General features: G+C 62.5%; 1 protein-coding gene across 1 annotated transcript, besides 3 other annotated features; it reads left to right on the forward strand.

Moving 5' to 3' along the window:
• Positions 1-101: 101 nt before the first annotated feature.
• On the forward strand, positions 102-8,039 carry LOC124905153 (uncharacterized). The gene is made up of 4 exons (XM_047441699.1): positions 102-138; positions 1,048-2,151; positions 2,277-5,691; positions 5,989-8,039. Exons 1-4 carry the CDS (start codon positions 102-104, stop codon positions 7,934-7,936), a joined length of 6,504 nt encoding a protein of 2,167 aa, XP_047297655.1. The 3' UTR covers positions 7,937-8,039.
• Positions 846-1,067: a silencer, noted in NCBI's record as "fragment chr22:20708428-20708649 (GRCh37/hg19 assembly coordinates)". NCBI's record gives its function as "represses an EF-1alpha promoter that drives an FKBP-Casp9 reporter gene in an ReSE screen in K562 erythroleukemia cells {active_cell/tissue: K562}" and the evidence as "EXISTENCE:reporter gene assay evidence [ECO:0000049][PMID:32094911]".
• Positions 7,455-7,956: an enhancer, noted in NCBI's record as "H3K27ac-H3K4me1 hESC enhancer chr22:20715037-20715538 (GRCh37/hg19 assembly coordinates)". NCBI's record gives its function as "activates a minimal SCP1, AML or CMV promoter by ChIP-STARR-seq in naive H9 embryonic stem cells {active_cell/tissue: H9 hESC(naive)}" and the evidence as "EXISTENCE:reporter gene assay evidence [ECO:0000049][PMID:30033119]".
• Positions 7,957-8,456: an enhancer, noted in NCBI's record as "H3K27ac-H3K4me1 hESC enhancer chr22:20715539-20716038 (GRCh37/hg19 assembly coordinates)". NCBI's record gives its function as "activates a minimal SCP1, AML or CMV promoter by ChIP-STARR-seq in naive and primed H9 embryonic stem cells {active_cell/tissue: H9 hESC(naive and primed)}" and the evidence as "EXISTENCE:reporter gene assay evidence [ECO:0000049][PMID:30033119]".

A 10,319-nucleotide genomic window follows, 5' to 3' on the forward strand; every position in this document is an offset into this window, starting at 1 on the left:
CTCTGTGTGGCACTTGGTTATTAGCCTGGCTTCCATCCCTTAGTGGCAACTCTCTTGTATATGTGGGTTAAAGACCCTCAGCCTCAAGCCAAGCCTCCTCCATGAGGAGCCATCTCACTATTGACCGGCTAGTGCCGGGTATGGCCACCAGCCCAACTGAAACAAAATGTTGCTTTAAAACACGTGTAAATCTCATACATACAACAGGCAAATGCAGAAGCAGTGTGGTCTCGCAAGTTGTAAAGAGGACAGTCGCAATTTTGCTGGACTTCAACCTGGGTAGAAGACATGAGGGAACTCTGTCACTGAATCACGGCAGAGTTCAAGGCCACTTGCAGACTATTTCATGTTATAGAAGGTGGCCTTTAGCTACTAAGCAAAGGCCTCTGTTTCTCATTTCTTTCCTGTTCATCTTCTTCGTCATCCTTCTTCCGCAAGGGAAACGAGCCCAAGCAAAAGACAGTTTCAATATTAATTTGACCGAGGTTTTGTGCAGTTAATTATCATCCAGGTAATCAGGTGCAACCCAGTCTGCCTAGCAGCCCCCCTATCTCTGCTCTGTGTTTTCATTTAATAAACATTTTGGTCTACTTACTATGTGCTAGATTTTCTCGAGACCAAGTAAATGAGATAGAATCTTTATGTTGGCAGCTAAGTTAGATTTAACATAACTGACAAAAATTAAAATTTCTGATTTCTTGTAAAAATATTTTGTATGTGTGAATGCATACTGAATGTAAAGTGGATAAAAAAAATCACACTTGCACTCATGGAAGGCTTTTCATGAATTTGTCAATTTCTATTTTTTTATATTTCCCCATTTCACCGGATAATACATACCTGAACCTGGAAAATGATTCCCACAGCAGAAAGTGTTCTGAGCCACATCCCTTAGCTTCACTAGTGCAGGTCCACCTGGGAGTATGTCCCACCATCAGCTTGACCCATGCTGTAATCAGCCACCTCCATGCATCACACCAAGCAAGCCCCTGGGTGATTCACAGTCTCCAGCACCAGGGCACTGACCTTAACTCTGTGTTCTTCTAGCTCCCTATGAGGACACTGTACACGACATCGCTAATGAGGACGCTGTATATGACATTGCTACTGAGGACGCCATATATGACATCGCTAACGAGGACGCCGTCCAGGGCATCGCAAAGGAGGACGCCGCCCAGGGCATCGCTAACGAGGAAGCCGTCCACGACATCGCTAACGAGGATGCCGCCCACGTAATCGCTAACGAGGACGCCGCCCAGAGCATCGCTAACGAGGACGCGGTCCACGACATCGCTAACGAGGATGCCACCCAGGGCATCGTTAATGAGGACGCCGCCCACAATATCGCTAATGAGGACGCCGCCCACGGCGTCGCTAACGAGGTCGCCGCCCAGGGCGTCGCTAACGAGGACGCCGTCCACTGCATCGCTAACGAGGTCGCCGCCCAGGGCGTCCTTAAAGAGGACGCCGCCCAGGACATCGCAAACGAGGACGCCGCCCAGGGCATCGCTAACGAGGACGCCGCCCACGGCATCGCAAACGAGGACGCAGCCCAGGACATCGCAAACGAGGACGCCGCCCAGGACATCGCAAACGAGGACGCCGCCCAGGGCATCTCTAAGGAGGACGCCGTCCAGGGCATCGCGAACGAGGATGCCGCCCAGGGCATCGCTAAGGAGGACCCCGTCCAGGGCGTCGCTAACGAGGACCCCGTCCAGGGCGTCAATAACGAGGACGCCGTCCAGGGCATCGCTAAGGAGGACCCCGTCCAGGGCGTCGCTAACGAGGACCCCGTCCAGGGCGTCGCTAACGAGGACGCCGTCCAGGGCATCGCTAACGAGGACGCCGTCCACGGCGTCGCTAAAGAGGTCGCCGCCCACGGCGTCGCTAACGAGGATGCCGCCCACGCGATCGCTAAGCCGGACGCCGCCCGCGGCATCGCTAACGAGGTTGCCGCCCAGGGCATCGCTACCGAGGACGTCGCCGACGGCATCGCTAACGAGGACGCCGCCCACGGCGTCGCTAACGAGGTCGCCGCCCAGGGCGTCGCTAACGAGGACGCCGTCGAGGGCGTCGCTAACGAGGACGCCGCCCAGGGCGTCGCTAAAGAGGTCACCGCCCACGGCGTCGCTAACGAGGACGCCGTCCAGGGTGTCGTTAACGAGGACGCCCTCCACGGCGTCGTCGCTAACGAGGATGCCGCCCAAGCGATCGCTAAGCCGGACGCCGCCCATGGCATCGCTAACGAGGTCACCGCGCAGGGCATCGCTAACGAGGTCGCCATCCACAGCATCGCTATCGAGGACACCACACCGTCCAGGGCGTGGCTAACGAGGTCGCTGCCCAGGGCATCGCTACCGAGGATGTCGCCGACGGCATCGCTGAGGACGCCGCCCATGGCATCACTAACAAGGAGGCCGCCCAGGCCATCGCTAAGCAGGATGCCGCCCACGGCATCACTAACGAGGACGCCGTCCAGGGCGTCGCTAACGAGGTCGCCGCCCAGGGCGTCGCTAACGAGGACGCCGCCCACGGCGTCGCTAACGAGGTCGCCGCCCACGGCGTCGCTAACGAGGACGCCGCCCAGGGCGTCGCTAACGAGGTCGCCGCCCAGGGCGTCGCTAACGAGGACGCCGCCCAGGGCGTCGCTAACGAGGACGCCGTCCAGGGCGTCGCTAACGAGGTCGAAGTCCAGGGCATCGCACACAAGGACGCCATCCAGGGCATCGCTAACGAGGATGCCGCCCACGGCATCGCTAACGAGGTCGCCGCCCACGGCATCGCAAACGAGGACGCTGCCCAGGGCATCGCGAACGAGGACGCCGCCCAGGGCATCGCTAACGAGGTCGCCGCCCACGGCATCTCTAAGGAGGACACCGTCCAGGGCATCGCGAACGAGGACGCCGCCCAGGGCATCGCTAAAGAGAACCCCGTCCAGGGCGTCGCTAACGAGGACCCTGTCCAGGGCGTCGCTAACGAGGTTGAAGTCCAGGGCGTCGCACACGAGGACGCCGTCCAGGGCATCGCTAACGAGGACGCCGCCCACGGCATCGCGAACGAGGTCGCTGCCCAGGGCATCGCGAACGAGGACGCCGCCCAGGACATCGCAAAGGAGGATGCCGCCCAGGACATCGCAAACGAGGACGCCGCCCAGGGCATCTCTAAGGAGGACGCCGTCCAGGGCATCGCGAACGAGGACGCCGCCCAGGGCATCGCTAAGGAGGACCCCGTCCAGGGCGTCGCTAACGAGGACGCCGTCCAGGGCGTCGCTAACGAGGTTGAAGTCCAGGGCGTCGCACACGAGGACGCCGTCCAGGGCATCGCTAACGAGGACGCCGCCCACGGCATCACTAACGAGGTCGCCGCCCACGGCATCGCGAACGAGGACGCCGCCCAGGGCATAGCACATGAGGATGCCGTCCAGGGCATCGCTAACGAGGACGCCGTCCACGGCGTCGCTAAAGAGGTCGCCGCCCACGGCGTCGCTAACGAGGATGCCGCCCACGCGATCGCTAAGCCGGATGCCGCCCACGGCATCGCTAACGAGGTCGCCACCCAGGGCATCGCTACCGAGGATGTCGCCGACGGCATCGCTAATGAGGACGCCGCCCACGGCGTCGCTAAAGAGGTCACCGCCCACGGCGTCGCTAACGAGGACGCCGTCCAGGGCGTCGTTAACGAGGACGCCCTCCACGGCGTCGTCGCTAACGAGGATGCCGCCCAAGCGATCGCTAAGCCGGACGCCGCCCATGGCATCGCTAACGAGGTCGCCGCCCACGGCATCGCGAACGAGGACGCCGCCCAGGGCATCGCTAACGAGGTCGCCGCCCACGGCATCTCTAAGGAGGACGCTGTCCAGGGCATCGCGAACGAGGACGCCGCCCAGGGCATCGCGAACGAGGACGCCGCCCAGGGCATCGCACACGAGGACGCCGTCCAGGGCATCGCTAACGAGGACGCCGTCCACGGCGTCGCTAAAGAGGTCGCCGCCCACGGCGTCGCTAACAAGGATGCCGCCCACGCGATCGCTAAGCCGGACGCCGCCCGCGGCATCGCTAACGAGGTTGCCGCCCAGGGCATCGCTACCGAGGATGTCGCCGACGGCATCGCTAACAAGGACGCCGTCCACGGCGTCGCTAACGAGGTCGCCGCCCACGGCGTCGCTAACGAGGATGCCGCCCACGCGATCGCTAAGCCGGATGCCGCCCACGGCATCGCTAACGAGGTCGCCACCCAGGGCATCGCTACCGAGGATGTCGCCGACGGCATCGCTAACGAGGACGCCGCCCACGGCGTCGCTAACGAGGTCGCCGCCCACGGCGTCGCTATCGAGGACGCCGTCCAGGGCGTCGCTAACGAGGACGCCGTCCACGGCGTCGCTAACGAGGACGCCGCCCAGGGCGTCGCTAAAGAGGTCACCGCCCACGGCGTCGCTAACGAGGACGCCGTCCAGGGCGTCGTTAATGAGGACGCCCTCCACAGCGTCTTCGCTAACGAGGATGCCGCCCAAGCGATCGCTAAGCCGGACGCCGCCCATGGCATCGCTAACGAGGTCGCCGCCCACGGCATCGGGAACGAGGACGCTGCCCAGGGCATCGCGAACGAGGACGCCGCCCAGGGCATCGCTAACGAGGTCGCCGCCCACGGCATCTCTAAGGAGGACGCCGTCCAGGGCATCGCGAACGAGGACGCCGCCCAGGGCATCGCGAACGAGGACGCCGCCCAGGGCATCGCACACGAGGACGCCGTCCAGGGCATTGCTAACGAGGACGCCGTCCACGGCGTCGCTAAAGAGGTCGCCGCCCACGGCGTCGCTAACGAGGACCCTGTCCAGGGCGTCGCTAACGAGGACGTCGTCCAGGGCGTCGCTAACGAGGTTGAAGTCCAGGGCATCGCACACGAGGACGCCGTCCAGGGCATCGCTAACGAGGACGCCGCCCACGGCATCGCTAACGAGGTCGCCGCCCACGGCGTCGCGAACGAGGACGCCGCCCAGGGCGTCGCTAACGAGGACGCCGCCCAGGGCGTCGCTAACGAGGACGCCGTCCACGGCGTCGCTAACGAGGACGCCGCCCAGGGCGTCGCTAAAGAGGTCACCGCCCACGGCGTCACTAACGAGGACGCCGTCCAGGGCGTCGTTAACCAGGAGGCCCTCCATGGCGTCGTCGCTAACGAGGATGCCGCCCAAGCGATCGCTAAGCCGGACAGCGCCCATGGCATCGCTAACGAGGTCGCCGCCCAGGGCATCGCTAACGAGGTCGCCGTCCACAGCATCGCTATCGAGGACACCACACCGTCCAGGGCGTGGCTAACGAGGTCGCTGCCCAGGGCATCGCTACCGAGGATGTCGCCGACGGCATCGCTGAGGACGCCGCCCATGGCATCACTAACGAGGAGGCCGCCCAGGCCATCGCTAAGCAGGATGCCGCCCACAGCATCACTAACGAGGATGCCGTCCAGGGCGTCGCTAACGAGGACGCCGCCCACGGCGTCGCTAACGAGGACGCCGCCCAGGGCATCGCTAACGAGGTCGCCACCCATGGCATCTCTAAGGAGGACGCCGTCCAGGGCATCGCGAACGAGGACGCCGCCCAGGGCATCGCGAACGAGGACGCCGCCCAGGGCATCGCACACGAGGACGCCGTCCAGGGCATTGCTAACGAGGACGCCGTCCACGGCGTCGCTAAAGAGGTTGCCGCCCACGGCGTCGCTAACGAGGACCCCGTCCAGGGCGTCGCTAACGAGGACGCCGTCCAGGGCGTCGCTAACGAGGTTGAAGTCCAGGGTGTCGCACACGAGGACGCCGTCCAGGGCATCGCTAACGAGGACGCCGCCCACGGCATCGCTAACGAGGTCGCTGCCCATGGCATCGCGAACGAGGATGCCGCCCAGGGCATCGCGAACGAGGACGCCGCCCAGGGCATCGCACACGAGGACGCCGTCCAGGGCATCGCTAACGAGGACGCCGTCCACGGCATCGCTAAAGAGGTCGCCGCCCACGGCGTCGCTAACGAGGATGCCGCCCACGCGATCGCTAAGCCGGACGCCGCCCGCGGCATCGCTAACGAGGTCGCCACCCAGGGCATCGCTACCCAGGATGTCGCCGACGGCATCGCTAACGAGGACGCCGCCCACGGCGTCGCTAACGAGGTCGCCGCCCACGGCATCGCTAACGAGGTCGCCGTCCACTGCGTCGCTATCGAGGACGCCGCCCAGGGCGTCGCTAAAGAGGTCACCGCCCACGGCGTCGCTAACGAGGACGCCGTCCAGGGCGTCGTTAACGAGTACGCCCTCCACAGCGTCGTCGCTAACGAGGATGCCGCCCAAGCAATCGCTAAGCCGGACGCCGCCCATGGCATCGCTAACGAGGTCGCCGCCCACAGCATCGCGAACGAGGACGCTGCCCAGGGCATCGCGAACGAGGACGCCGCCCAGGGCATCGCTAACGAGGTCGCCGCCCACGGCATCTCTAAGGAGGACGCCGTCCAGGGCATCGCGAACGAGGACGCCGCCCAGGGCATCGCGAACGAGGACGCCGCCCAGGGCATCGCACACGAGGACGCCGTCCAGGGCATTGCTAACGAGGACGCCGTCCACGGCGTCGCTAAAGAGGTCGCCGCCCACGGCGTCGCTAACGAGGACCCCGTCCAGGGCGTCGCTAACGAGGACGCCGTCCAGGGCGTCGCTAACGAGGTTGAAGTCCAGGGCGTCGCACACGAGGACGCCGTCCAGGGCATCGCTAACGAGGACGCCGCCCACGGCATCACTAACGAGGTCGCCGCCCACGGCATCGCGAACGAGGACGCCGCCCAGGGCATCGCGAACGAGGACGCCGCCCAGGGCATCGCACACGAGGACGCCGTCCAGGGCATCGCTAACGAGGACGCCGTCCACAGCGTCGCTAAAGAGGTCGCCGCCCATGGCGTCGCTAACGAGGATGCCGCCCACGCGATCGCTAAGCCGGACGCCGCCCGCGGCATCGCTAACGAGGTTGCCGCCCAGGGCATCGCTACCGAGGATGTCGCCGACGGCATCGCTAACGAGGACGCCGCCCACGGCGTCGCTAACGAGGTCGCCGCCCACGGCATCTCTAAGGAGGACGCCGTCCAGGGCATCGCGAACGAGGACGCCGCCCAGGGCATCGCTAAGGAGGACCCCATCCAGGGCGTCGCTAACGAGGTTGAAGTCCAGGGCGTCGCACACGAGGACGCCGTCCAGGGCATCGCTAACGAGGACGCCGCCCACGGCATCGCCAACGAGGACGCTGCCCAGGGCATCGCGAACGAGGACGCCGCCCAGGACATCGCAAACGAGGACGCCGCCCAGGGCATCGCTAAGGAGGACCCCGTCCAGGGCGTCGCTAACGAGGACCCCGTCCAGGGCGTCGCTAACGAGGACGCCGTCCAGGGCGTCGCTAACGAGGTTGAAGTCCAGGGCGTCGCACACGAGGACGCCGTCCAGGGCATCGCTAACGAGGACGCCGCCCACGGCATCGCTAACGAGGTCGCCGCCCACGGCATCGCGAACGAGGACGCCGCCCAGGGCATCGCGAACGAGGACGCCGCCCAGGGCATTGCACACGAGGACGCCGTCCAGGGCATCGCTAACGAGGACGCCGTCCACGGCGTCGCTAAAGAGGTCGCCGCCCACGGCGTCGCTAACGAGGATGCCGCCCACGCGATCGCTAAGCCGGACGCCGCCCGCGGCATCGCTAACGAGGTCGCCGCCCAGGGCATCGCTACCGAGGATGTCGCCGACGGCATCGCTAACGAGGACGCCGCCCACGGCGTCGCTAACGAGGATGCCGCCCAAGCGATCGCTAAGCCGGACGCCGCCCATGGCATCGCTAATGAGGTCGCCGCCCAGGGCATCGCTAACGAGGTCGCCGTCCACAGCATCGCTATCGAGGACACCACACCGTCCAGGGCGTGGCTAACGAAGTCGCTGCCCAGGGCATTGCTACCGAGGATGTCGCCGACGGCATCGCTGAGGACGCCGTCCAGGGCATCACTAACGAGGAGGCCGCCCAGGCCATCGCTAAGCAGGACGCCGCCCACGGCATCACTAACGAGGACGCCGCCCAGGGCGTCACTAACGAGGTCGCCGCCCAGGGCGTCGCTAACGAGGACGCCGCCCACGGCGTCGCTAACGAGGTCGCCGCCCACGGCGTCGCTAACGAGGACGCCGCCCAGGGCGTCGCTAACGAGGTCGCCGCCCAGGGCGTCGCTAACGAGGACGCCGTCCACGGCGTCGCTAACGAGGACGCCGTCCAGGGCGTCGCTAACGAGGTCGAAGTCCAGGGCATCGCACACAAGGACGCCATCCAGGGCATCGCTAACGAGGACGCCGCCCAGGGCGTCGCTAACGAGGACGCCGCCCAGGGCGTCGCTAACGAGGTCGCCGCCCACGGCGTCGCTAACGAGGATGCCGCCCACGGCGTCGCTAACGAGGTCGCCGCCCAGGGCGTCGCTAACGAGGACGCCGCCCAGGGCGTCGCTAACGAGGTCGCCGTCCACGGCGTCGCTAACGAGGACGCCGCCCGGCACATGGCTAAGGAGGACGCCGCCCAGGACATCGCTAACGAGGACGCCGCCCACGGCATCGCTAACGAGGACGCCGTACACGGCATCGCTAACGAGGACTCCGTATACGGCATCGCTAATGAGGATGCCGTATATGACATCGCTAATGACACCGTACAAGGCACGCTAACGAGGACACTGTACAGGACATCGCTAATGAGGACACCATACAAGGCATCGGTAATGAGGACGCTGTATACGACATCGCTAACGAGGACACCCTACAAGCCGTCGCTAACAAGGACACTGTACACAACATCGCTAATGAGGGCACCATACAAGACATCACCAATGAGGGCGCTTTATACGACATTGCTAATGATACCGACAAGGCACGCTAACGCGGACACTGTACACGACATCGCTAATGAGGACACCGTATAAGACATCGCTAGTAACTATCGCAAGAACAAAAAACCAAACACTGCATATTCTCACTCATAGGTGGGAATTGAACAATGAGATCACATGGACACAGGAAGGGGAATATCACACTCTGGGGACTGTTGTGGGGTGGGGGGGGGAGGGATAGCATCGGGAGATATACCTAATGCTAGATGACGAGTTAGTGCGTGCAGCACACCAGCATGGCACATGTATACATATGTAACTAGCCTGCACAATGTGCACATGTACCCTAAAACTTAAAGTATAATAAAAAAAAAAAGACATTGCTAGTGAGCACACTGTATACGACATCGCTAATGAGGATGCTATATATGACATCGCTGATGAGGACGTTGTACACGACATCACTAATGAGGACACCATACAGATGGCTTGAGCCCAGTAGTTTGAGACAAGCCTGGCAACACAGCGAGACCTCATCTCTACAAACATTTTTTAAAAATATGCCAAGCATTGTGGCGCATGCCTGTAGTCCTGGCTATTCAGGAGGCTGAGGTGGGAGGATCACCTGTGCCCAGGAGTTCAAGGCTGCAGTGAGCTATGATCACACCACAATGCTCCAGCCTGGGCAACAAAGCAAGACTCCATCTCTAAAAATAAAATTAAATTAAAAAAAAAGATCTTCGATGTAAAAGAGGTATGCTCAAATGCAATAAAATCATATAAGAAGGCCGGGTGTGGTGGCTCATGCCTGTAATCCCAGCACTTTGGGAGGCTGAGGCAGGTGGATCATGAGGTCAAGAGACTGAGACCATCCTGGCCAACATCGTGAAACACCGTCTCTACTAAAAATACAAAAAACAATCAGCTGGGCGTGGTGGCACACACCTGTAGTCCCAGCTATTCAGGAGGCTGAGGCAGGAGAATCGCTTGAACCTGGGAGGCGGAGGTTGCAGTGAGCCAAGATTGTGCCACTGCACTCCAGCCCGGCAACAGAGCGAGACTCCGTCAAAAAAAAGAAAAAAAGAAAACCATACAAGAAGCCCCTACGAATCTGGGTGAATCAGCAAAGGCTTCACAGGATAGGAAAAGGCCATGAGTATGAAAACATGAGTGGGGGGTTGGCCTAGATGGTAAACGAGGAGAGGACAATACGGCCAGGAAGTGCATGTGCACAGCAGACGGGAGATGGAGGGCACGGCTGATTGGCAGCTACCTGTACTTTAATATTCCTGGAGTGTGACGTGTGAGGCAAACATGGGGTGGTGGGGTGAGTGCTGGAGATGAGGCAGACAGTGAGCCATCAGCATGTTAGTAACAGGGGAATCCATGGGCGTTTCATGCAGCTCCAAGGACCCTATGTGAGCTCATCAGACTCCAATTACCCAA

The sequence above is a fragment of the Homo sapiens genome, chromosome 22 (assembly GCF_000001405.40).
Source record: "Homo sapiens chromosome 22, GRCh38.p14 Primary Assembly".
Taxonomy (NCBI): domain Eukaryota; kingdom Metazoa; phylum Chordata; class Mammalia; order Primates; family Hominidae; genus Homo; species Homo sapiens.

Excerpts from the sequence above, each read along its gene's own strand:
- LOC124905153 (XM_047441699.1), top strand. The coding sequence starts at position 102 with ATGAGGAGCCATCTCACTATTGACCGGCTAGTGCCGG. Across the intron at positions 139-1,047 it reads TATTGACCGGCTAGTGCCGG|CTCCCTATGAGGACACTGTA; the intron begins GTATGGCCACCA and ends GTGTTCTTCTAG. Across the intron at positions 2,152-2,276 it reads TAACGAGGACGCCGTCCAGG|GTCGCCATCCACAGCATCGC; the intron begins GTGTCGTTAACG and ends ATCGCTAACGAG.